The sequence below is a fragment of the Homo sapiens genome, chromosome 6 (genome assembly GCF_000001405.40).
Source record: "Homo sapiens chromosome 6, GRCh38.p14 Primary Assembly".
Lineage (NCBI taxonomy): Eukaryota > Metazoa > Chordata > Mammalia > Primates > Hominidae > Homo > Homo sapiens.
This window is the reverse complement of record NC_000006.12, coordinates 28,632,482-28,659,769: the sequence shown is the minus strand read 5'-3', so window position 1 is coordinate 28,659,769 and position 27,288 is coordinate 28,632,482. Positions and strand designations below refer to the sequence as shown.

Here is a 27,288-nt window from a genome sequence, read left to right as displayed (position 1 = left end):
TTAATGGTTGTCTGAGTCTTTTGTTAGATATGTTCCTTACCTTCCAGGTGTGTACTGGGGTCTAGAGTAGTGCATGATTAATTATGTGAATGTCAGATCTGGAAAAGATATTTAGTACTATTACTTCCATTTTCCACTCAGCAGTGAGAAAACTTTTCTGAAAGTGTTGTGATTATTACATGTTTTTCCCTCTTTTAATCCTCTAATATGTTGCATGAGATTAATGAATTTTATAATATTCATTGACACATGTCCATTCCTTTAACAAACTCCACCTTTTAGTCACTTCCGGCTGCTATAACAAAATACCATAAACTGGGTGGCTTAAATGACAAGCATTTATTTCTGGAGGCTGTAAGTGCAAGCATTTAGTTCTGGAGGCTCTGGACAAGCATTTAGTTCTGAAGGCTCTGGACAAGCATTTAGTTCTGGCGGCTCTGGAAAAGCATTTAGTTCTGGATGCTGTAAGTGCAAGGTAGGGTGAGAATTGCTGGTGTCATCTTGCCAAGCTACCTTTTAGAGCCTCCTCCCCACCTTGCTCCTTCTCCCAACTCCAACCGTTCTGAACACTCCCAAGCACAGCCCTTCCCTCATTTCTACTTGGCATTCCTATCCATCCTTCCAGATTCGGTCACAGGTGACTGTAACCGAGGACTTCTGCACTCTCTACGCAGGTATAAAGCCTTCTCTGTTCCCTTGGTGAGACAGGAGTCTGAACCATCTCTACATTTTCTGTAGAGAGAACCATTCCCTCTACAGAAAATAATGCGCCACAGAAGCAGAGATTTAGCCTCGATCTTAGAAGTAACACGTCTCCAACTTCATTCTGGGCTCTTCATTTCAAAGAATCAGAGTAGGATCTGAGGATTCCTACTCTCTGGATTTTATTTGTATTCTCTGGATAAAATGCGGATCAGGGGGCCGCGGGAGGCAATCCAACATCTTTAGCCTTTAACCGTCCCAGTTGCTAACGGAGTGGAACGAGTTTATTTTTATAACAGAAATTCCTTCACTACCTCCTTGTTTTCTAAGAAAAGGCGTGTAGCGGTTTCTGGAGTTTGGGAATAGGACGCAGAGATGGGGTAAGGAATTGGAGGCAGTTCAGTAGTTTCCCTAAGTAAAGACAGTAGTTGGTAAAACATTTGCTATCTTTTCTGGAAGGATCTTTCCTGTGTCCTGAAAATCTTTTTTACAAATGAGAAAAGCATTCAGAAAAGGAAGGTCTGGGAGGATGTTTCTTAACTGAAATTTCCTCCTCTAGTCTGTTCTTAATCCTTACCAAATGTCTGCAAGATGCTGGTTAATCAAAATTTCTTGGTGATAGAGGGCTACAAAAAGGGGAAATGAAAATTTTAACGTTCGTTCATGAAAGAATAAATAAATGTTTAAAAAAAAAAAAAACTGAGGTAAATTTCTATATTCTTTCATAAAAGCAGTTTAAAGACGAACGTTTTTCGAGGTGGGGATGTAGCTCAGTGGTAGAGCGCATGCTTAGCATGCATGAGGTCCCGGGTTCGATCCCCAGCATCTCCAGTGTTTTTGTATTTATGCTCCGGAACCGTCTTTCTTTTACAGATACAGTCACAGCCTATTTCTGTAGAATCGGAAAATTAATCATATTGCCCCCACTCCCGTATTTATATCTTGCTTTGGTTACGCCTGTAGCTCTTTCATTTTTAAAATTTCATTCCTGCCTGGCCAACACGGTGAAACCCCGTCTCTACTAAAAATACATAAATTAGCCAGGCGTGGTGGCAGGCGCCTGTAATCCCAGCTACTTGGGAGGCTGAGGCAGAAGAATCGCTTGAATCTGCGAGGCGGAGGTTGCAGTGAGCCGAGATCGCGCCATTGCACTCCAGCCTAGGGGACAAGAGAGAGACTTCGCCTCGAAAAAAAAAAAGAAAAAGAAAAAAAAATTTATTCCTCTCCATTCTCAGCCGCATTTACATATGATGAGTGACTTTGGACCCTGTTCCATTAGGGCGGTGCTGGAAGGAACATTTACCAATAAAAGGACAATTATCAATAAAAATCCTAAATGGATGTTTTGTGAACGAATTCATCTTTTCACTGAGTTTTGCTGCTGGGTTTGTGGTGGGGGATCCAACGGTAGGCTGAGGTCCGGTCTCAGGTTTCACCTTTTGGGGCTTAGTGGGAAAAATATGGATTTCTCCTCAAGCTCGCAGGAAAGAAAATGTACTCTTCCCAGGCCGGAGGCTACGAAGGCATTGGGTAAATTTAGCATCTCCAAACGTGGCAGTTCTCTCAGAAATCGTACACAAAGAGGTGAAATAGTAGCATTTTGACACTGACGTTTTTCCTTCAGTGACTGCATTTTGCCAGTGAGTTCATAGCGTTCCCATGATTGTGTGGATTTGATCCCTTCTATATTGATCTCTTTTGAAATCTCTAAATTTGCTGCACTGATTCTAAAACTGCTCACTTCAATTATGCTTCTCAAACAAAAAAACAAAAACACTTCTCTTTTTAAAGCTGGTGCTTTTATACCATGCACGTGTGTGAGGACTTTCTTTGGCTAGCCCTTTTGTGTATTTCGCAGAATACACAAAAATCTCCTTTTGGGATGCCGCGTCTCTTGTATCTTGGTGCTTTAGTCTCAACTTCCAACTTGGGACAATGCAGAGATGCGGTAAGGAATCGGGGGGCAGTTCAGTAGTTTCCCTAAGTAAAAACAGTCGTTGGCAAAACATTTTCTATCTTTTCTGGAAGGATCTTTCCTTTGTCCTGAAAATCTTTTTACAAATGAGAAAAGCATTCAGAAATGGAGGGTCTTGGAGAATGTTTCTTAACTGAAATTTCCGTCCCCACTCTGCTCCTAATGTCTGCCCCCAGTGGCCCTCAGTGCCACTCTTTCCCCCATCAGTTCCCTAAATTTATTTCATATAAGAGACCTGGAGAAGTTACACATTTCATTGATTTAATACTTCAGCTACCCACAGGTTAAAGCTATGCATGCTTTATATCCCCTCCAAGAAAAAAAAATAGATTCTTTTATTTTGGTCACAGAAAGCCTGAGTCTTCCATTTATTCCTTCAGCAAATAATTTAAGTGACAGATTTATAGTTATTTATTTATTTATTTGAATTTTCAGTGCGTAACATGTAACTGTCTTCCCCTTCCCATCTACCATCTTTCTCTTAGGTCCTTTATATTGTCGCAGGGTAGGGCGGTACCCAAAGTCTGCCTTTCATCCCAGTTGACCACAGGTTATAACTTACTTCGTATTTTAGAGATTCTTGCCAAACACTGCCAGATTTCCTCCCTTGAATGTTTAAACTTTCCCAGGTTTGCCCAATACAGACAAGAAAGAAGAGAGAATCACTGTTAAATTTCTGTCTACCCACCATGATGTATTTTATTTCAAATTACTGAGGTTATTGATCACAGCCTAAGAATAAACCATGTGAAGATTTTCCTACATTATGTTGTAGGTCTGCTGTATCTCATTTCTCTTTAACATGAAAATAATAAATTATATTCCTCACTAAATAACCTTGATTCACATCTAATTTTCTCTAGCACAAGACTGTAGCAACCACTAAATGGAGGCTCAGAGCAGTTTCATTCTGGTAACAAAAAGGAGTCTTTTTAGCTTTTCAATGCTAAGGAATAGGACCAGCAAATAAAAGATTTTTCTCCAGGTTTCAGCTGTCCGCTTATTTTTATGTTTTCAGAAAATTGCCCCTTTTCTTTCTTCCTTTTGCTTCTCTTAATATTCTTTCGGCAGAAAAGCTACAGAAAATTAGGTCTGGTTTTACCAATTAAAATAGCGATCTTTTGAAATATTGTTTAAAATTTTTTTAATTTTCCTATCAGGAACCCAGAGTTATACGATCAATTAAAACAAGCCTTTCCTTAGTAAGACAGTCCCAAGTTATCAATTTCCCTTTTCCATGAGATAAGTTTATTTCAATTGTCTTCCCTTGCTTTAAGATGAGGTCAGAGCCATCTCAGACCACTGGCAAATAACCTCAAATTTTATGGGGGAACAGAGTTTAAGGGTCTATTTCTTCTATCCCAGAAGGCCCTGAATTCTTAAGGGATCGGCTTTTTTCCCCAATACCTAGCTTTGCAAAGCAGGGATCTCAAGGAGTGGCAATTCTGATTTCTTAGTCCTGGGACAATTTTGGAAAGACAAAACATAAAATAGAAGCTTCTCTCTACTTGGCAGAACTGTACCTGGTGAGATTAAGTTACATCACCTCCACCGGCCCTTGACTTTTAAAATGTCTGCGAACTGCTCATATGTCTATGACTAAAGGGCCAGTGGATACCGAGATACTGCTTTGACTCTTATTTTCCCTAAGAGCTAAGAGCGTCTCCACCGTGGGAAAGCCTCTGGAGTCTCCCAGCCTCCTGCAGGAGACTCAGTTCTGTATCTCTGCCCCAAAATAGGCCCCAGGCCATGAGTTCTGGCTCTGGAAGCACTAAGGTAGAGCTGCCATCTTTGACTAAGGCTTCTGTCTGTGCCTCTGGGTTAAATGGTTTTACTTCATGCACTTACTATGCTGGACTTGAATTACTGGTGGGTTTTTGTTTGGTTGTGTTTGGTGGTTTTTTTTTTTTTTTTTTTGGAGATTTCTTCCTCTCTTTATTTCCCTTATGATATGGTTATGTATTTATTTTGTAGTCATTTTATATTTATAATGTCATTTTACATTTATATTGTTGTCATTTAAAATCATATTGGATCTATTGTTGTTGTTCAAGTGGGTAAATTTTTCTCAGAGATATCTCCAATAATAGATATTCATAAGATAAAAATCTTCTTTTTTTTTTTTTTGTGATGGAATCTTGCTCTGTAGCCCAGGCTGGAGTGCAGTGGCACGATCTCAGCTCACTGCAAGCTCCGCCTCCCGGGTTCACGCCATTCTCCTGCCTCAACCTCCCGAGTAGCTGGGAGTACAGGCACACCACCACGCCCGGCTAATTTTTTGTATTTTTAGTAGAGACAGGGTTTCACCGTATTAGCCAGGATGGTCTCAATCTCCTGACCTTGTGATCCGCCAGCTTCGGCCTCCCAAAGTGCTAGGATTACAGGCGTGAGCCCCGCGCCCGGCCAAAGATAAAAATCTTTATACAGTCGTGTGTCAATAAGGGGCAAATGTTCTGAGAAATGCATTGTTGGATGATTTCGTCATTGTGCGAACGTCACAGAGTGTACTTATGCAAACCTAGATGATATAGCCGACTATACACCTAGGCTGTATGGTATAGCCTATTGCTCCTAGGCTACAAAGCTGTACAGCATGTTGCTGAACTGAATACCGTCGGCAATTGCAATACAGTGGTATTTGTGTATCCGAACATACGAAAGGTACAGTAAAAATGTGGTATAAAAGATAAAAATGGGGCCAGGAACAGTGGGACACGACAGTAATCCCAGCACTTTGGGAGGCTAAGGCGGGTTGATCGCTCGAGCCCAGGAGTTGTAGACCAACCTGGGCAACATGGTGAAACCGCATCTCTACAAAATACAAAAATTAGCTGGGTGTGGTGGCACACGCCTGTGGTCACAGCTACTCAAGAGGCTGAGATGGGAAGATCAAGTGAGCCCAAAGGTCGAGGCTGCAGTGAGCTGAGACTGCGCCATTGCACTCCATTAAAATGGTACACTTGTACTGGGCACTTGCCATGAATGTGTCTTGCAGGACTGGTAGTAGTTGTTCTTGGTGAGTCAGTGAGTGAGTGGTGAGTCAATGTGAAGACCTAGGACATTACTGTACACTACTGTAGATTTTATAAATGCTATACACTTAGGCTACACGAAACTTATAAAGTATTTATTTCTTCAATAATAAATTAACCTTAACTTATTGTAACTTTTTTACTTTATAAACTTAATTTTTAAAAACTTTTTGACTCTTTTGTAATAACACTTAGCTTAAAACACAAACACCTGGCTTGGCATGGTGGTTTATGCCTGTAATCCCAGCACTTTGGGAGGCTGAGGCATGCTGATCACTGGAGGTCAAGAGTTTGAGACCAGCCTGGCTAACATGGTGAAACCCTGTCTCTACTAAAAATTTTAAAAAATACAAAAGTTAGCCAGATGTGGTGGCGGGCGCCTGTAATCCCAGCTACTCGGGAGGCTGAGGCAGGAGAATCGCTTGAACACGGGAGGCGGAGGTTGCAGTGAGCCAAGATCTCGCCACTGCGCTCCAGCCTGGGTGACAGAGCAAGACTCCGTCTCAAAAAACAAAAACAAACAGACAAAAAATCCAAAAGACCACAAACACCTGTAAAGCTGTACAAAAAACATTTTTTCTTTATATCTATATTCCATTAGCTTTTTTCTATTGAAAAGCTTTTTTTTTTTTTTTAACTTTTAAAACTTTTTTTTTTAAAAAATGAAGACACAAACACACACATTAGGTTAGGCCTAGACAGGGTCAGGATTATCAATATCACCATCTTCCACCTCCAAATCTTGTTCCACTGCAAGTTCTTCAGAGGCAATACCAAGTAGGAAGCTGTCATCTCCTATGATAACAATGCCTTCAAGAATCCCTTGTGAGGGCCTGCCTGAGGCTGTTTCACAGTTAACTATTTTGTAATAAGTAGAAAGAGTACACTGTAAAATAACAATAAAAAGTATAGTATAGTAAATACAAAACCAGTAACATAGTCATTTATTATCATTATCAAGTATTATGTACTGTACATAATTGTATGTACTATATTTTTACACAACTGGCAGAGCAGTAGGTTTGTTTAAACCAGCATCACCATAAACATGTGAATAATGCACTGGGCTATGTTACCACAGCTACAATGTCATTAGGTGATCAGAATTTTTCAACTCTATTATAATCAGTCTTATGGGACCACTGTCATCTATGTGGCTCATTGTCGACTACAATGTCCTTATGTGGCATGTAACTGTGTTTCTACCTTTAAATGTCAAGTACTTCATCTTTCCTTCAGTTATATCTGGTTGTTCATCAAGATTTTTAATGCATGTTTATAGTTCAAATAACTATTTCACTTGAGTAGTAATCCAAAGTGTGATGATCTAATATTCATATTCCTAGGCTACTTGACATAATGCAATTTCTTCTCAAAAGCCAATCCATTTGATATAGGACTAGCAATTCTACTGTGCTTAACTGTTAGTAAGTACTTTTACTTTCTCTTGCCTCATTGTGGTGAAATCCACACTCAAACATAGCCTTTTCAGGCTGGAAAAGGACCACACTGGGGTACTGTGCTGAGTTGCTAATGTCAAAGCTACCATTAGAGAAGTTTGAAAGGACTTTCTGGTAACCCAGTGTCACAAATGCTGTATTAAAATCACTGGTGAATGTAGATGGTGTACACATGGTATATCAACCTTATTCACTAGACACTGAATGGCACTTCAATCTCATGACGAAGTTTTATTAGGGCAAAATGCCCAACACTTTAGCATAGATACCTGCCAATTGCCTGCTTTCCACTGACTGACAGTCTTATTCCTCTAGCTGATTTGGTGTTCCCAACTTGCATTTCTCTAGCTTCTCCTTAAGCCCACCCATTCTGTAGGGCCCCTTCTATAGCCACCACCTGTGCCTCTCACTTCTGTGTCCTCCCTCAAAATACCTTCTCCAGTGCACCCACTCCATCCCTTATTCCTAAATTACTTTCCCACCTTAATCTCAGATCACATTCATCTCCATCTTCTGTTCTCCAGATGCTCTTACTTTCCCCCACCTCAACTCATTCACTACACTCACTATAGTAACTCACTACCCTCAGGATCCAGCCAGCTTTGTTCTCCTAGCTCACAGTCTTTGCTTTTACCACCTCCTACGATGGCCTCTTCCTCTACCATCCCTATTCTATCCTTCGGTTTCCATCCTTTCTAATTCCTATTCTTAGCTTAACTTTTTTTCCCAGATTCAAGCTCTCTTCTTCCCACACACCTGTGAGATACTCCCTTTCTGAGTGGTCCTTGCTTATCCCCACCTCTGGTTGTTCTCAGAAACTATGGACTGGGATAGCTAAGCTGACACATACTTTTCCTTGTGCCTTTTATTTTCTTCTATCTTTGAACTCAAATTTTTGTTCAGCTTTTTAATTAGGCATATGAACCTGTCATACTTACTTCACCTCACCTCTTATTTACTAGTTTTCTTTTTAAATAAGTTCATTTTAATAAAGTTTGGGGAAAATCTTAGGACACAACTTAGTTATTTCTCAGAGGATGCTGCTTACTGCAATAGTTTCCTCGGGCTGCTATAACAAAATAACACAAACTAGGCAGCTCAAACAACAGAACTTTATAATCTCACAGTTCTAGAGGCAAGAAGTCCAAGATCGAGGTGTCAGCGGGGTTTGTTCTTTCTGAGGGTTGTGAGGGAGAATCTGTTTCAGGCCTCTCCTCTAGTTTCTGGTGGTTTTCTGACAATCTTTGAAATTCCTTGTGGATGCATCACCAAATCTCTGCCTTCATGTTCACATGGTATTCTCCCTGCATGTGTGTGTATGTTCAAATTTCCATCCCCCTACTTTTTTTTTTGAGATGAAGTCTCGCTCTTGTCCCCAGGCTGGAGTGCAATGGCGTGATCTTGGCTCACTGCAACCTCCGCCTCCCAGGTTCAAGTGATTCTCCTGCCTCAGCATCCCGAGTAGATGGGATTACAGGCCCCTGCCACCACGCCCGGCTAATTTTTGTATTTTTAGTGGAGATGGGGTTTCACCATATTGGCCAGGCTGGTCTTGAACTCCTGACCTCAGGTGATCCACCCACCTCCGCCTCCCAAAGTCCTGGGATTACAGGCGTGAGCCACCACTGCACCCAGACAAATTTCCCGTTTTTATTAGAACACCAGTTATATTGAATCAGGGGTTCACTTTACTCCGTATGACTTCAAGTTAACTAATTACCTCTTTGATTACCTTATTTCCAAATAAGATCACATTCTGAGGTACTGAGGGTAGGATTTAAACATGAATTTTCAGGGGACTAACAGCTACTAACTAGTAGTATAGTAAATCACCCTATTCTCAACAAAGAAAGCATAACTGAGGGTAATATGAAGTCACTGCAGTTGTGACAAATCCCCACGCTCCAGTATTGATATTCATATCCCTCAGTCAGCTGTCTTGGATTCTGATGTTAGTTGAGCACTTTTGCATCAAATTGGCTGGAGATCTCATGTGAATTATTTAGCCTTTCAATTCACTCACATATTTTTTTTTTCTTTTTGAGTGCAACTCTATTTGGAGGAGGATCCCACTGGGCTAGTGATATGGTTTGGCTGTGTCCTCACCCAAATTTCATCTTGAATTATAGCTCCCATAATTCCCACATGTTGCGGGAGGGACCCAGTGGGAGATAATAGAATCATAAGGGCTGTTTCCCCCATACTGTTCTCGTGGTAGTAAGTCTCACGAGGTCCAATAATTTTTTTTTTTTTTTTTTTTTTTGAGACGGAGTCTCACTCTGTCGCCCAGGCTGGAGTGCAGTGGTGTGATCTCGACTCACTGCATCCTCCACCTCTCGGGTTCAAGAAATTCTCCTGCCTTAGCCTCCTGAGTAGCTGGGATTACAGGCGCCCACCACCATGCCCGGCTAATTTTTGTATTTTTAGTAAAGACGGGGTTTCACCATGTTGGACAGGCTGGTCTCCAGCTCCTGACCTCAGGTGATCTGCCTGCCTCAGCCTCCCAAAGTGCTAGGATTATAGGCATGAGCCACTGCGCCCAGCCATATTCTTTATTTTGTTTAAATATCTTGGATTAACTTGAACGTATTCTAGGTGTGTTCAAGTACTAATTGTGACATTAGGGGGGAAAAATCTATTAGGACTTTTTCCAGCAAAAGTCAAAAAGAAATTTTAAAATTAGTTGAACTGGGCAATGTCAGAAATATACCTAAAACAAAGTATTATGCTTTGAACTTGATTACTGGGACCTGCTAGGCACTCAACTATCACATTGTACTTCTTTTATTGTGATACTGTTTCTTGTTTGATTTTTATCATCTGGCTACCTTGTGCCTAGTTGTGTCTACAGAAGTTATTTCAATGCCTGACACATAGTAGGTATTCAATACATCGTTCTTGTTGGAAAAAACTTGAACAATATTTCCCTGGACATGATGCCATCCCAGTTATATTTTAGTAACTGAAGTTAGTACAATCCTGATCATAAACAATTCAGCTGATTCAAATTCAGAAAGGCTATGATTCCTGGTCCTTATGATTTTGGGGGATGTTGCTTCCCAAACTCAGTAAATATACAGTAACTCTTAATACAGTAACTGTTAGTACAGGTCTAATCATAACAGTTTGTTAATCTATATTAAATTAAAACGTGACTATCTTGGTTAACAGGAAAATAAGTTTATATTCACTACAAAAACATTCTGAATGGGATACGAAATGGCAATGCTCCAAATTTTGGCTCAAGAGAGGAATTAAGAAAGACTTTAGGATTCAAGGGCATTATCCGGCCCAGAGCCCCTTACAGCCTTTGCCAGGTTAAATAGGGAATTTTGTAGTCCTCCCTGTTGTCTTTTTAACATGGCGGGGAAGCTGGGTAATGTGCAGAGACGCTTGCTTTATTTGGTGAACTCACTCCCTCACTTTGGCACCAGCCTCAGTACTAAGCAAAGGCAGAAAACTAGGATACAATCGTTAACAGTTTCAGAATGGATCTTAATTTGGGGATTTTTCAATCAATTAATGTTTGTTTAGCTTCTACAAGGTGCGGATCCATAAGGAAGATATTAGGAAACATCTAATTGAAGCTTGAAGAACCAAAATGAGGAAGGCAGAATTAGGAAAGACCCTGTCCGGTGACGCCTCCCCTTCTGGTTTCCATCTGTGCCCCCTCTCAGGAGCCGCGGGAACACAAGCCTCGAGCAGGCAAAGTCTCTTTGGATTTGAAATACAAAACCGTTAAGTGAGCTCCGACCAGGTCGCCTCCCAGCTGTCGCCTGCTTTCTCTAAAGCAGTGATCTGGCAGCTGTTTGGAGAGTCTGAACGCGTTAACAGTTTTTGTTTTTCAGCGCATCCGTGTGCTATCTTCTAATTGGCCAGAAAAGCCATTAATGTGATGAAAATTCTGAATGATCTGTTTTGCTAGAAAAGCTTTTCACTCCACTTTTAGAATCCAACCACTTGATGATTCGAAATCACCGCAATGCCATGGAATGTAAAAACTGCTCTCGCCACGTCTAGAGACCGATGCCTCTTCCTCCGCTGGGAACATGGTTCATCTCCACTCTCCGATTTCACGGTTTTATTTGCCCTCTGGGACGCGCTGACATTGTTCTAAGCACATTTTCTAAGTGATTGTGTGAGTGTGGGTGTGTTTTGTTGGACTTGAAGGGAGTCTAATTTCTAGAAGTTCCTTTCAGGAGTCTGCCTTTACTGCAAAGTTGATGTATTCGAAAACACAGTAACTCTTAATGGCAACAGAATTTGTCACCTAATTAAGTGCAATTCGGTCATAAAAGAAGCCACAGAATCAGCACGGCTGGCTCTGTGGCTTAGTTGGCTAAAGCGCCTGTCTCGTAAACAGGAGATCCTGGGTTCGAATCCCAGCGGGGCCTTAGGGTGTGCGTGTTTTTTTTTCTTTCCCCCTTTAATAAGGGCCGTCTGTTTTTGTAAATTTATCACAATTTTTAGTCTATAATCCTTAATCACAATATCAAGTCCACTGCATAGAGCTTTAATCTCTCCAATCTCTCTTCATTACACCTGCATCCTCAAAGACTATTAGTTTCTGATGATCTCCCAGACAGTTATATTGGAATTTCACCAAACTCAGGGGTTCAAGTTCAATCACGGATAAAAAATCTCTAAAATAAAATTGTAAAACTTTTAATTCAAAACATTAAAAATATATTCTTCTGGTTTCTCAAACTCCATGTTAACCTTGCTTAAAGTCCACATGGATGAAAAATGGTTGCAATTTATGGAACATTTACTAAGTTGCACTTTGTGTATTTTCTCACATGCTTTTAATTCCTAGAATATTCACTGAAGTAAACATTATTATGCCAATTTTACAGATTAAAAATGAAGTATCAGAAGGAAATAAACTTGCCCAAATCTTACAGCTGATAATCAAGCTAATATTTAAATCCAATATTTCTCAGTTACTTAAGTCAAAGTTATTTAAGTCAAAGTCTTAAGTAACAAATAATATTATTTATAAAAACAAACAGTATCCAGTGTGATTTAGAATAATGGTTCTTAAAATTTTATGGCACATGAACTCATTACATTATCTAAAAAAAAATTTTGTCTATAAACACACAGACACACACACACACAGACTTACGGACAAATTTTGCATATTCTTTTGAGATTTTCTCTGACCTCCTTAAGTTCTTGGGTGTCCATGTGCCACTGAAAAAAATCCATGACTTTCATAAATCAATAAACAGTAAATCGCAAATGAATGTTCAGAAAAAATAAGCTGTTTTAGGGACAGGGGTCATATTTTATTTCTTGACATTGATTTTTATAGTACTATCACTCCCTTCCCTTGGTTGATTTAAAGTGGGTTATTAGAAGCAGATTTCCCAACAGGAGTGTTATGACTCTGAGCCAGCATGCCAGTTTCAAAAAGTTATATTTCTGGATGTGAGATCACTGAAGTGAATTCTGAAAAGAATTCTATGTGGTCCATAAACACCTCTTAAAGCTAACTTCAAGCAGTGGAAGATATGCCTTCATCTGTTTTATGTGATAATTACGGAACTCTAGTCATCCCCTCATTCATTCCCAAAATTATTAATTCTATGCCTACTCACACCAAGGTGTGGAAAGGTAAACTGAACAGGCCTGGTCTCTATCCCAAAGGAGATAAGAGCTTAGTTGGGGGTGGGTGAATGGATAGAAGTTATTTATATAATGACAAACATAACATTGTGGCTATGATAAGTGCTGCAAAAAAAGAATGACTGTGATTTAGAACACACCGATGGGATTTGGTTTCATCAGGGAGATAAGAAGAGAGTCTTCAGTTGCAAAGAAAGAGGACAGCATAGGAAAGGGAGACAGAGCATAGGAAAACCCAGGCAGAGGAAGTTGGACAAAGTGCATTGGACTGGAAAAAAGCTGGTATGAGTACAGTGGGAAGGCCATGGGCAAGCAGCCTGAGAGATGGGATGCAGAAGGATAGGACGAAACTGTGTCAGAATTTTAGAGGCCATGCCAAGGAGTTTTAATTTTATATTAAGAGCAACCAAAATCCATGTGTAATTGAACATAAACACATTTCAAAAATTATGAGTGAAGAAAAAAATATAAGGTTTCAGATGTATTCTCCTATTTATTGTGTTCTTTTCAGAAAATAAATTTAAAATTAACTAGAAAAGCAGATAACCAGTAACATAATCAGAAGTGGAGAAAGTATAAATGTAAGAAATACTTAAAAGGAATTGGCATCAAGTTTTAGGGGGAAAACCCCCCAATTGAGAAAAAGCCTATATCTGCAACCTCAGGGGAGTTATTGCTCACAAATGACTCCTTTTCCAAATGTTTTAAGAGTAAAACTTCATCAGACAAGTACATCAATGCCTTTGTTTAATTTTTGATTAATAAGAAATAATCCTATCCTCTTTCTCTTTACTTAATGGTGATGAATTCACTAAGGTTTCAATGAGAATTTAGTTGTGCTTACTGGGAGTTCTCTCGAAAGTTTAGCTTTCTATTCTGTTTCTTATATAAAGTTCCGAGCTGCCAGAATAAGAGAGGCTGGAGTCAAGTCCTCTAAGGTCTTTTCATCCCCAAGGTGAATTATCTAAGGAGCCTTAAAAGAGCTTTGCAGTCCCCTCACACTCAGCAAAGAGCTGAGTCAGTCTCTGTGCAAACTTAGCAAACAACTTCTAAGTTTATGTACTGGACCACAGATTGAAAAGTGAAGTGGCTCTCAACTCAATCCAAAGATGCTTTCCTCCCTCTAGTGAGAGCAATGCTCATTCAATGGATCAAGTCACACCAGAGAAAAATCTGTTCACATATAAATGCAGAGAAAAGGCTGGCAATAAAGTGACTGACTGTGCACAGGAGTGAAAGGAGCATGGAGTTGTCAGTGACAAAGTCTGTATGCATGTCCTGGATCCTTCACTACCAAATGTGGACCTTTGGTAAGCAACTTGACTAGCCTAAGGTCTATCTCATTCTTTTCTTTTTATTTTAATTTTTACTTTTAAAATAATTTCATTTTTACAGAAAAGTTGCATCCTTCACTCAATCTTCCCAAATATGGACCTTCTCTCATATGTATATCTCTTATGTATATATATATGTATACATATATATTTTATACATATGAGATATACTTTTAATCTCTTATACATATGAGATATGCCTTTATCTCATATACGTGTGAGATATACTGTTATCTCACATCTCATATGTATATATGTATACATATATATTTTATACATATGAAATATACATATGAGCTAAAAGTTCCTATATACATGTATACACACAGACACACACACACGCACACATACTAAACCATTTGCCATTTAAGAATAAGTTGCCAGGCATGGTGGCTCATGCCTGTAATCCCAGCACTTTGGGAGGCCAAGGTGGGTGGATCACGAGGTCAGAAGTTTGAGACCAGCCTGGTCAATATGGAGGAACCCCATCTCTACTAAAAATACAAAAATTAGTCGGGCGTGGTGGCGCGTGCCTGTAGTCCCAGCTACTCAGGAGGCTGAAGCAGAAGAATCGCTTGAACCCGGGAGGCAGAGTTTGCAGTGAGCCAAGATAGCGCCACTGCACTCCAGCCTGGGCGACAGAGTGACACTCTGTCTCAAAAAAATAATAATAATAAATAAAAATAAAGAAGAATAAGTTGTAGATATAATGATCCTTTACCCCTAAATACTTCAATGTATGTTTCCTAACAGGAAAACACCCTCTTACATAACCACAGTACAATGATCAAAATCAGAAATTAACATTGATACAATACTATTGTCCAATATATGGGCCTTATTCAGACTGTGCTAATTGTCCCTAAAATGTCCTTTTTAGCAAAAGAAAATCTTTGAGCATATGTTGAATTGTCATGTTCTGTAGCCTTTCTTTTTCTTTTATAACATTGGTATTTTTAAAATAGTACAGGACAGTTATTTTATAAAGTATTCCTCTATTTGGGTTAGTCTGCTATTTCCTCATGATTGGATTTAGTTTATGTATTTTGGGTAGGAATACCAGAGAGCTGACATTGTGCCCTTTTCAGTGCATTTTACCAGGAGATATTTAATGGCAGTTGTCCCATTACCAGTGGTATTAATTTTGGTCACCTGGTTATGACAGTGTTTGCCAGGTTTCTCCACTGTCATTAATAAGTATCCTGACTTTGAGACTATGTAAATATCCTGTTATCATTCAACTTTTATCAACTTAATTTAGCACCCATTGATGATCCTGGCCTGAATCAGTTAGAAGTATGATGGTTGCCAAATGATGATCTTGTAAATCCATCATTTATTTTACATTTACAAGTTATCTTTCTGCTATAGGAAAAAAATGTTTCCTTCCCCTCCCAGCCACCGGGCCCGGCCCAGTAATGTACTTTCTATTCAACAGTTGACTTTAAATATCATCACTTGTGGCCGGGCGCGGTGTTTCACGCCTGTAATCCCAGCATTTTGGGAGGCCGAGGCGGGTGGATCACGAGGTCAGGAGATCGAGACCATCCTGGCTAACACGGTGAAACCCTGTCTCTACTAAAAATACAAAAAATTAGCCGGGCGTGGTGTAGTGCCAGCTACTCAGGAGGCTGAGGCAGGAGAATGGCATGAACCCGGGAGGCGGAGCTTGCGGTGAGCCGAGATTGCGCCACTGCACTCCAGCCTGGGTGACGGAGCTAGACTCCATCTCAAAAAAAAAAAAAAAAATATATATATATATATGGTATATATTATATCATATATATATCATATATAGGTATATATTATATCATATATATCATATATATATGATATATATATATGATCACTTGTAAAATAGAAGGAATGAGAAATAAAATACTTGGTTTTCGCCTGGAAACCTAGAAGCACTGTGAAAAGATGAAAGAGATGTTGAAAAAACAAAGGGCAGAGGTGGAAACAAACAAATCCTTTTTTCTGCCTAACCTCCTTTCTTACCCCTCCCACTTTCCAGAAAAGGCTCCAGGGCCTGAGAGACCTTGGCAATAACAGTGAGCGGAAGATTTGCTCAGCAGCACGTACGTTGAACAAGAATCAGCGCTAAAACCTTAATACCTATTGGAGATGCCGGGGATCGAACCCGGGACCTCATACATGCAAAGCATGCGCTCTACCACTGAGCTACATCCCCACACATAGACCCTTGTTGTTCCAAAAAAAGTTTTTAAAAATATACTGTATTCGATCAATTTTTTTTTTCCCCCCAAAATTAGTTTTAAATAGTTTGTTGTGCAAGAATTGTGTGAATTTTGCAGGTCATGAATGTGAGAAAGAAGATTTAAATCAATGTCACTAAGTCCTTTAGAGTAATTGGAAACTCACCAGGCCCAACACAGAACAAGGGGTTGCAAAACTGGCTTTTATCTGAGCAGGACTATGTATATAAATCATTCAGATCCAGTCAATTGAAATGGCCAGAATAAAGAAAAGTAGAACCATAGATGGTTACAGCAAACCACTGGGAAATTTCCTGATGTATTATACAAAGTCTAACTGTAATCAGAAGCCAGTTCAGTGGGTAAAGTACTGGGATAGATTGATCTTGTAAGGCATACCCAGTCTTAGGTTTTGGGCTTGGAATTATCCACAAACCAACCCTCCGCCTCGTCTAAGAAGAAAAATCCCACTCAGTAGATTGGGTGAGTAAATCTGTATCTTGTTGAATAAAAAGCGTAAGAGAAATGTGAATATTCAAATATAAATCTGGGTTACAAAATGTGAGAAACAGAATTCAGTGTCAGGCAGTAGATCTCAAAATGTGGTCCTCAGAACAACAGCATCAGCATCACCTAGGATCTTACTAAAAATACAAATTCTCTAGGACTACTCCAGACCTATGAGTCAGGGACTGTGGAAGTAGGGCTCAATAATCTGTGTTTTAGTAAGCCCTGAGGGTGATTCTGGTACACGCTTATGTTTGAGAACCGCTGATGTAAGGTATTGATGAATACAACATTGCTGTTTCATTTTTTTTTTTTTTTTTTTTTGAGACGACGTTTTTGCTCTTACTGCCCAGGCTGTAGTGCAATGGCACGATCTTGGCTCTCTGCAACCTCCGCCTCCAGGGTTTAAGCAATTCTCCTGTCTCAGCCTCCCGAGTAGCTAGGATTACAGGCGACTGCCACCATGCCCGGCTAATTTTTGTATATTTAGTAGAGATGGGGTTTCACCATGTGGACCAGGCTGGTCTTGAACCTCGGACCTCAGGTGATCCACTCACCTCGGCCTCCCAAAGTGCTGGGATTACAGGCGTGAGCCACCGCGCCCGGCCTGCTGTTTCATTTTCTAACAATAACACAGTACTAAGGTGTTTCTAGCATTTAAAAATAAAATAATTTGACATATTAGACCTGAATTTTTATGAGTGTGTATTAAAATATTTAAACGTGTGAGGGAAATAAAAGTGATTTTTAATATATTGTGAAAATAGTATGTGAATTTTTAAAAATTACTTGTGTATTAGACAAACAGTAGCAGATATTTCTGTTTATATTTGAAAGCCTTTGAGCATTAAAGAATCTATCCACCATATTAAGAGAAGAGGAGGAGTCAGGAGAGAGAAAATTTGTTTCTGGACCTCAGTTATTTTCCCAATTTTGGTTGTTTTGAAGCAGCAACGTTTGTCTCAGTGCACATGCAATTTGGGCTTTAGAGAGGATGTCCACCAGCTGGCTTCCTAGAGAGTTTAAACTTTTGTTTCTTTAATGTGCTGTCCATGGCTGAGTTTATGCAGTAGTACATGGGTTTAGCAACCACAAAATATTTTACTAAGAAACTGTTTAAAAAATAAACAGTTTGGCCCTGCTCTTCTCCATAGAGCAAGGATAACATCGTAAAAGAATCCTATTTTTATTTTAATTATGCAATGCAAGGTGTCCTTGATAGAAGTCTTGAGATATGGTTTGATCTGTGTCCCAGCCCAAATCTCACGTCTAATTGGAGCAGGGTCCTGGGTGGGAGGTGATTGGATCATGGGTGCAGTTTCCACCTTCCTGTTCTCCTGATAGTGATATTAGATCTGGGGATCTGATCGTTTAAATGTGTGTGGCACCTCCCCCACCCCTCTGACCTGGTCCGTCCGGTAAGATATGCTTGCTTCCCCTTCACCTGCTGCTATGATTATAAGTTTCCTGAGGCTTCCCAGTCATGCTTCCTGTTAAGCGTGTTGAACTGTGAATCAATTTAAACCTCTTTTCGGGCGCGGTGGCTCATGCCTGTAATCCCAGCACTTTGGGAGGCCGAGGCGGGTGGATCACGAGGTCAGGAGATCGAGACCATCCTGGCTAACACAGTGAAACACCGTCTCTACTAAAAATACAAAAAAATTTAGCCGGGCGTGGTGGCAGGCGCCTGTAGTCCCAGCTACGCGGGAGGCTGAGGCAGGAGAACGGCGTGAACCCGGGAGGCGGAGCTTGCAGTGAGCCGAGATCGCGCCACTGCACTCCAGCCTGGGCAACAGAGCCAGACTACGTCTCAAGAAAAAAACAACAACAAAAAACCTCTTTTCTTCATAAATTACCCAGTCTCAGGTAGTTCTTTGTTCCAGTATGTGAACAGACTAATTAATCTTCGCTCTTGTGTTACAAGGGACACCTCATTTGAGATCAGTCTGCTGGCACTGCAATGAAGTGCTTTGTATCAGCAAACTGTACACTATTTACCTTTTTTTCTGTTCACAGCTGAGCCACATGTACATAATCTATATTCTGTTTTCATAGTTTTGTACTTTTACAGCCTATTTTTGAAGATTAACACATTTGCAAAATGACTGACACGATCTTTGCCTAACCCAATCAGTGTTACAGAAAGCTTGCTATAACTAGAACTGTAAATCTTTTTTTTTTTTTTTTTTTTTTTTTTTTTTTTTTTTTTTTTTTTTTTTTGAGACGGAGTCTTGCTCTGTCACCTAGGCTGGAGTGCAGTGGCACGATCTCGGCTCACTGAAATCTCCACCTCCCGGGTTCAAGCAATTCTCCTGTCTCAGCCTCCTGAGTAGCCGGGATTACGGGCACCCACCACCGCGCCTGGCTAATTTTTGTATTTTTAGTAGAGAGGAGGTTTCACCACGTTGGCCAGGCTTATCTCGAACTCCTGACCTCAAGTGATCCCCTGCCTTGGCCTCCCAAAGTGCTGCGATTACAGGCGTGAGCCACCGCACCCAGCCTAGAACTGTAAATCTTAAAAAAAAGGTATGTGATAATAGAAGCCTGAAATTAAAACCTGCATTTAAAAAAATCACCAAATCTATTTGAAAACAAGTCAATTTGTGTTGAGAGGTGACAGCATGCTGGCAGTCCTCACAGCCCTTGCTCGCTCTCGGCGCCTCCTCTGCCGGGGCTCCCACTTTGGCGGCACTTGAGGAGCTCTTCAGCCCGCCGCTGCACTGTGGGAGCCCCTTTCTGGGCTAGCCAAGGCCGGAGCCGGCTCCCTCAGCTTGCCGGGAGATGTGGAGTGAGATGCGCGGACATGAACCGGGGCTGCGCGCGGTGCTTGCGGGCCAGGGTGAGTTCCGGGTGGGCGTGGGCTCGGCGGACCCCGCGATCAAAGCGGCCGGCCGACCCCACCGGCCCCGGGCAGTGAGGGGCTTAGCACCCGGGCCAGCAGCTGCTGTGCTCAATTTCTCACCGGGCCTTAGCTGTCTTCCCGCAGGGCAGGGCTCAGGACCTGCAGCCCGCCATGCCTGAGCCTCCCCCTACCCCCGTGGGCTCCTGTGCGGCCCCAGCCTCCCAGACTAGAGCCGCCCCCTGCTCCACAGCAGCCAGTCCTATCGACCACCCAAGGGCTGAGGAGTGCGGGCGCAGGGCGCGGGACTGGCAGGCAGCTCCACCTGCATCCCTGGTGCGGGATTCACTGGGTGAAGCCAGCTGGGCTCCTCAGTCTTGTGCGGTCGTGGAGAACCTTTATGTCTAGCTCAGGGATTGTAAATCCACCAATCGGCACTCTGTATCGAGCTCAAGCTTTGTAAACACACCAATCAGCACCCTGTGTCTAGCTCAGGGTTTGTGAATGCACCAATCGACACTCTGTATCTAGCTACTCTGGTGGGGCCTTGGAGAACCTTTATGTCTAGCTCAGGGATTGTAAATACACCAATCGGCACTCTGTATCCAGCTCAAGGTTTGTAAACACACCAATCAGCACCCTGTGTCTAGCTCAGGGTTTGTGAATACAGCAATCGTCACTGTATCTAGCTACTCTGGTGGGGCCCTGGAAAACCTTTGTATGGACACTCTGTATCTAGTTAACCTGATGGGGATGTGGAGAACCTTTGTGTCTAGCTCAGGGATTGTAAACGCACCAATCAGTGCCTTGTCAAAACAGACCACTCGGCTCTACCAATCAGCAGGACGTGGGTGGGGGCCGGATAAGAGAATAAAAGCAGGCTGCCCGAGCCAGCAGCGACAACCTACTGGGGTCTCCTCCCACAGTGTTGAAGCTTTGTTTTTGTTGCTGTTTGCAATAAATTTTGTCATGGCTGACTCTTTGGTCTATACTGCGTTTATACATTGTAACACTCACCGGGAAGATCTGTAGTCTCACTTCTGAAGCCAGCGAAGCCACGAGCCCACCGAGAGGAACGAACAACTCCAGAAGCGTCGCCTTAGCAGTTGTAACACTTGTCTGGAGAGTCTGCAGTTTCATTTCTGAAGCCAGCGAGATGATGAGCCCACTGGAAGGAGGGAACAACTCCAGACGCCCTGCCTTAAGAGCTGTAAAACTCACCGCGAAGGTTTACGGCTTCACTCCTCAGCCAGGGAGACCACGAATCCATCAGAAGGAAGAAACTCCGAACACACCTAAACATCAGCAGGAACAAACTCTGGACATGCTGCCTTTAAGAACTGTAATTTCGTGAGGGTCCGCGGCTCTGTTCTTGAAGTCAGTGAAACCAAGAACCCGCCAATTCCGGACCCAGTGTTATGCTGAAATTTTCAGGGGCTGTCAGATTTATTCTCTTAACCACATTTCTGAATATATACAAATACCACTATTTCCCCATAGCCCTTTAGCCCTTTGTACTTCAAAATATTTTGTTTAATGTTTTTTCTTTTTTTTTTTTTTTTTGTTTTTTGGAGATAGAGTTCTGTTCTGTAACTCAGGTGGGAGTGCAGTGGCCGGACTTCAGCTCACTGCAACCTGCACCTTCCGGTTTCAAGTGATTCTTCTGTCTCAGCCTCCCGAGTAGCTGGGATTTTAGGCACGTGCCACCACACCGGGCTGCTTTTTGTATTAAAGGAGACGAGGTTTCATGTTGGCCAGGCTAGTATGGAACTCCTGCGTTAAGGCAATCCACCTGCCTTGGGCTCCCAAAGTGCTAGGACTACAGGTGTGAGCCACTGTGTCCATCCATGTTTTATTTTTTTCTTTGAAACAACAGTACATATAATAGAGATACAATTAATTGGGATTAAAAAAGGAAAATAAGACAGTAAAAACAGTCTGGATTTCCAGTTTAGGGTTTTGCGTGTAAGTAGCTTGGATGTTGCCACTTTGCTTTAACAACTGAGAAGCTGAAGGAAGTGAAAAATCTAACTTTTTAGATTCATAAAAGAAGATAGGTCACAGAGGAAACTGGTGCCCACCCCCCCCCCAAATTGGAGAGACAGACAGATAGACATTGAAAATCACAGCACACGAGCAGAAATATCTGTGGGAACCATTGCATAGATAAGAAAACCTGAATTCTAATCAATGAACTGCTGGAGGCTAGGTGTGGACAAGTCTGAGAGTTAAAAACTCCAGGGGGACCCAGTCACAGCAAGGCCCCATGCTTTTGTGTATTTTACTTACAGGAACTTGACCAGATTCTTGCAGTAAATATTAGAGAAAAATCCCCTTGTGCTTCCACATGGGGAGAGGAAAAGGGACTATTTTGAATAGCACCTGTTTGTCTTAATAAATTCTGCCCTCAGGAGAAACTAATCAGAGCCTAACCTGCTGTGGTTTTATCAGCTCTTGGGGGAGGAAAATACCCAACCCAGACAGCTTTAACCTTCCATGTCATGGAAGGGAAATATTTAACTCCAGCCCACTCTAGCCATCCTGTCCATCTAAGGGAAGAGAAAAACATCTAAGCAACACTTGTATGATTCACAGTGCAGAGGTGCAGGCTTACTAAAAGACAGGCCTAATTGCAAGAATGCAGAAATCCTTCTGTCCCCCTGCATCTTGCCCTCACATTACTGAAGATCTATTTGCAGCAATTCCTTTAACCCAGTGCATCATGTTGAGCTATCAAGAAAAAAGCTACAAGGCAAACTAAAAGGCAAAAAAAAAAAAAAACAGCTTGAAGATGGAAAGCAAGCATCAGAAACAGACATGGGCAGGGATTTTGGGATTACCAGATGGGGAATTCAAAACAACTATGATTAATATGCTAAGGACTCTAATGGATAAATTAGACAGCATGCAAGAACAGATGGGCAATGTAAGCAAAGAGATGGAAATTCTAAGAAACAACCACGAAGAAATGCTAGAGATAAAATACTGTAACAGAAATGAAGAATGCTGTTGATGGGCTTATTAGTAGACTTCACATGGCTGAAGAAAGAAGCTTTGAACTTAAGGATATATCAGTAGAAATTTCCAAAACCGAAAAGCAAAGAGAAGAAAGACTGAAAAGAAACAAACCCAGAACAAGTAGCAACTAAGCCTGTGAAAAGATGCTCCACATCATATCCCATCAGATAAGTGCAAATTAAAACGAGACAACACACACACCTATTAGAATGACCAAACTCCGGAACCCTTACAACACCAAATACTGTTGAGGATGTCAAAAAATAGGAACTCTAATTCATTGTTGATGGAAATACAAAATGGTATGATGTCTTTGGAAGACTTTAGCAGTTTCTTACAAAACTAAACATACATTTATCATACAAGCCAGCAATTATACTCCTTAGTATCTATCCAGAGAAGTTGAAAACATATGTACACATAAAAACTTACACATATATTTCTATAGCAGCTTCATTCATAATTGCCCAAACTTGGAAACAACCAAGATTTCCTTCTGTAGGTGAATAAACAAACTGTGGCACATCCAGACCATGGAATATCATTCAGTGCTAAAAAAAAGAAATGAGTTATCAAGCCATGAATAGACATGGAGGAAACATGTACCATATTATTAGGTGAAAGAAGCCAATCTGAAAAAGTTACATACTGTATGATTCCAACTATATGGTATTCTGGAAAAGGCAAAGCTGTGGAGATAGTAAAAGATCAGAAGTTGCCAAGGGTTAGAGGGAGAGGGAGGGACTGATTAATTGGTGGAGCACAAAGGATTTTTAGCTCAGCGAAAATACTCTGTATACTATAATGGTGGAAGTATGTCATTATATATTTATCCAAACCCATAAAATGTGCAACACCAAGCGTAAACCCTATTGTAAACTGTGGACTTTGAGTAATACTGATGTGTCAATTTAGGTCATCAATTTTAACAAATGCACCGCTTTAACTAAACACGCAGGGCTAAGCAGTAGACAGGGATTGACATCCCTAGAACCTGCATTGGCCTGTTGGTTACCAGCGTGTCCCGCAGCCCAGGCCGGGGGATGGACGCCCGAGTCAGGTCACCCAGATCTCTCCGCCACCCGTTGCGGTCTGTTAAGGAACCACTTGCGGCAGCGGGGAGCGGCAGGTGGTGGGTGGAAAGGAGTTAGTCTGGGATGCAGAGAAGCGCAGCAAGAGAAATAAGCAAAGAGCCAAAGGTTTTATCCTCCAGTTAGGCTCTCTTTGCTTATTTCTAGAGATTTATATTTATTTATTTTGGGGCCTCTTTTACTTGATTCAAAAGCTTTCATCTTAGCTTTTGCCTTTTTTTTTTCACATTGGTTTTCTATTCTCCCTTTCCCTCCACAACACGGCTGCGGACAGAGGGGTACAGCAAGGGGCAGGGCACCCACCGCTACTCTCTGGTATTTTTGGGGAGATTTCGAGTGTTCTAGGGGACCCAGGAACATCCACACTGACGACCGAGCAAGGCTTGTTCCAATGACAGAGAGAGGAGGTCCTCCACAGGGAGGTGAACCGGCAAGGACAAGGAGTCCGCGACAAGGAGGAAGGGGCGGTATGGAAGGCGGGGAATAGTATCCCTGTCCGCCACACTTAGGCGGGCAAGAAAGAAAACCGGGATGACAGGCAGGGCGAGGCAAAGGTTGGAGATGTGACGCGGCCGCAAACGCTAGGAGCTCCCTGGAGAAGTCAATGGACCACCCCAAGCTGAATCCTAAGAAGGCAGAGACGAGGCTTGGTCTGCGAGGAATGTTAGTCCGCTGAAACTGCGATCTGCGGGTTAAAATTAACCGCCCGAGAGCGGGGAGAAAGGGCCATGTTTTTATTGCTGAAGGGTAAAAGGACATATGTCCAAGGCCGAGCTGATAAACGGTTCCGGAAAATACTTAACGGTCCCCTCCCGCTAGCGCAGTGAGCATCCTACCGGGGAGACGCGGTGCTGGAGCTCGCATGTCATTGCTTAACGGTGGTGGTCGCCCTTACCCATCCTTACCCATTCTGTCTCTAGCAGGATTATCAAAAAAATCACTCCAGCCTCGCGTCTATATCAGCGTCACTGGGAGGCCAGAGCTGTTCCCTCCAGCGGCGAGCTGGATCTCATTTTTCTGTAGGTCTCTGCTAAGCGTAAATTCAGTAAAAACCAGCTAATGCATTTTAGGCCCGCAAGCTCCTGCCTAAGACCTGAGGTCCGCAAAGCCCCAGCGTTAGCCGGGCAGATCACTACTGGGTGTTCATTTCGTGCAACGAAGCTCCACCCACCGGCGCAGAGAACTTTGGCCTGAATCCGAGAAGCACAACCCATGTTGGTTCTCATGCGTAACTCTCGGCCTTTATTTATTTGGTCAAGTCTTTCAAAATTCCTGGAGTCGTCAATTTTTGATCAAGAAAGTGGTATACTTTCTGCTTAATGCCATAGTTATATATGCTTATCTTTGCCAGAGCACTTGTCATACGCTATTGGAATGATCTGTTTATGTAATTTTGAATCCTCCCTCCTCCACCTTCACACTTCATTGCAAGTCTCTGTACTGTGAAATATATCCTGAACAGAGGGCACCTGTAATTTATTTCTCACTGCTCTGTGAGTGGCTGCTGTACTCCACCTCTATACTAAGGGTGTGGGAAGCCTGATGAAAGAAAAATAGCCTCTGCCCTCCAGAAGCTACCTTACTAGAGAAGGGAACAAACTTAACATAAATCTACTCTTATAAGGTGTTTGTGGTAAATGAAATTTAGGGAAAGTACAAGGAAGTTATGTATGGCATTGATAACAATTTGTTGAACCGACTTGATTTTCTATGAATATAAATTGAAAAAGCCGACGGAATTGGGTAGTGCTACTCTATATTGTTAAGGGCTATATGAGTAAATAAAAGGAAAAGAAGGTTTTAGTGCTTAGGTGGATGTAGTTTAGTGGTAGAACGCGCGCTTTGCATGTATGAGGTCCCGGTTTCGATCCCTGGCGTTTCCACTTTAGCATACTGGTTGGTTACTCCTCTTTGTTTAGGCTTGGGTAGAACTTCCTGACGTCTTCAAATACTTGGAAATAGGTCGGTGGCTTTAAAGGTCAGATGTATTTAACACGGCACACTTTCATAGTGCCAAACTTTCTCCAACTATCAAAATCCTGTAACTGCTAACTGCTTTAGAACACCTTTAAATCTTACCACTCATTAACAAAATTGGGTTTACATTGTTATGACTGAAGGTACATGATTTGTAACCAGAAATACAGTTATTTGGAGCACAGTTGAAGATGATTCTACCCTCTCTCAGCCACGAGGATCATCTTAAGAGTTAGTTTTGAGGCGGAAGGGTTGGGCAGGGGCCTCCTCGTGGCTGGGGCTCCAGCGCAAACCAGCTGCCTCACCAGCTCTGGAGCTCGCGCCGCTTGGCCTCAACCCACTCACGCGGTCCCTCCCATTGGCTTGCCTGGCTTTATCTCACCTGACGCGCCATGCCTCGCCTACCCGGGCTCTGTCCTCAACTCTGCCACCACCGCTGCGTGGCCCTGCTCGCCCTGCAGCCCGACCCCTGCCTTGCCCACTCTGAGCCTCCGCGCCAGCCCATGTATGCCATGGAAATATGGCTGTTGGAATTCTGGTGTTTTACGACCTTCTTAACACCGTCTGCGTATGTGCTAAGCAGTCTGAGCCAGTTCAGAAAGGAGTAAATGGAAGAAGATGTTGAGCGCCTGTTAACGTCCAAAAAACTTTAAGAAAAAAAAAAAAACCACAAAACAAAACTGTCTTCATAAACTGTAATACCACATTACAACCATTGTGGTATTCAGTTTCATAACCATCTTTATGATAAAAATTTTGGACTTTTTTAGTATTGTGCATTATAGAGATGTATAGTCAAAAATGTTTTGCTTAAGTATTAAATATAACTGAAACACTTTAAAAAATTAGCTTTGAGCTTTATATCAGGAACTGTCTGAACTATTTGCCTTAAGATACCTTTTCTGCCGTTGTTACCCTGGTCTTTTCACCAATATGCTATCTTTTTTTGGTGGGGGGGGCTGTCATATATACAATCTATAATATCTGTTTATATAGCATATATTGTATTGTAAGCCATCTTTTCAGTTGCTTGTTGAATGAGACCTGGTCTGGTTCAATTGAATTTAAGGTCATTTGAATGAACTAAAGGGTAACTTTTTCTTCTCAAAAATAAGACGTGAATTATTGATACAACCTTGAAGAAACAGCTATGCAAATTGTGTTTACGAAAATTTTTTGGACTCAAGATTGGGGAGAGAACAGAGATGGTTGCAAGGATATAAGTGCTAGAGCTTACAATTTGCATGCCTAGGGTTCCCAGTTCGATCCTTGGTATCTCCAATTTGTCTTCCCCACAAGGAGCAAAATGAAGCAAGACCTATTCTGTTTGTTCATAGGTTATTTCATTCCTCTTTCGAGGTCACTGCTAGTGTTTGCTTTTCATCTTTGTTCCCACTTCCTGGTAGTTATTCTGCAAGAAACTATATAAAGACACCATTTTTGTGGCAATTTTGGTCAATAATCAGAATAGTCAGTAATACCTACAGTGGGGATGTGGTTCCGTGG

General features: G+C 41.7%; 2 long non-coding RNA genes, 3 other non-coding genes and 2 pseudogenes across 6 annotated transcripts, besides 1 other annotated feature; 5 read left to right on the top strand and 2 right to left on the bottom strand.

The window, feature by feature from the left end:
* Positions 1–1,461: 1,461 nt before the first annotated feature.
* TRA-AGC4-1 (tRNA-Ala (anticodon AGC) 4-1) lies at positions 1,462–1,533 on the top strand. Its single transcript has one exon. It is a non-coding gene; the product is annotated as a tRNA-Ala (tRNA).
* A 3,761-nt stretch (positions 1,534–5,294) lies between these two features.
* LINC00533 (long intergenic non-protein coding RNA 533) lies at positions 5,295–11,484 on the top strand. The gene is made up of 3 exons (NR_135285.1): positions 5,295–5,338; positions 10,704–10,874; positions 11,119–11,484. It is a non-coding gene; the product is annotated as a long intergenic non-protein coding RNA 533 (long non-coding RNA).
* On the bottom strand, positions 6,536–21,186 carry LOC105374996 (uncharacterized). 2 transcript variants are annotated; one of them, XR_926657.3, is made up of 3 exons: positions 20,714–21,186; positions 12,298–12,365; positions 6,536–6,595 (listed from the first exon to the last, which is right to left on the bottom strand). It is a non-coding gene; the product is annotated as an uncharacterized LOC105374996 (long non-coding RNA). The 2 variants fall into 2 exon arrangements; XR_926656.4 differs by lacking the exon at positions 6,536–6,595 and adding an exon at positions 11,490–11,812.
* TRT-CGT3-1 (tRNA-Thr (anticodon CGT) 3-1) lies at positions 11,490–11,563 on the top strand. Its single transcript has one exon. It is a non-coding gene; the product is annotated as a tRNA-Thr (tRNA).
* Positions 16,254–16,325, bottom strand: TRA-TGC2-1 (tRNA-Ala (anticodon TGC) 2-1). The gene has a single exon. It is a non-coding gene; the product is annotated as a tRNA-Ala (tRNA).
* Positions 19,274–19,774: an enhancer, noted in NCBI's record as "H3K27ac-H3K4me1 hESC enhancer chr6:28607773-28608273 (GRCh37/hg19 assembly coordinates)". NCBI's record gives its function as "activates a minimal SCP1, AML or CMV promoter by ChIP-STARR-seq in naive H9 embryonic stem cells {active_cell/tissue: H9 hESC(naive)}" and the evidence as "EXISTENCE:reporter gene assay evidence [ECO:0000049][PMID:30033119]".
* On the top strand, positions 25,617–25,688 carry TRA-TGC9-1 (tRNA-Ala (anticodon TGC) 9-1; annotated as a pseudogene).
* COX8CP1 (COX8C pseudogene 1) lies at positions 26,176–26,389 on the top strand (annotated as a pseudogene).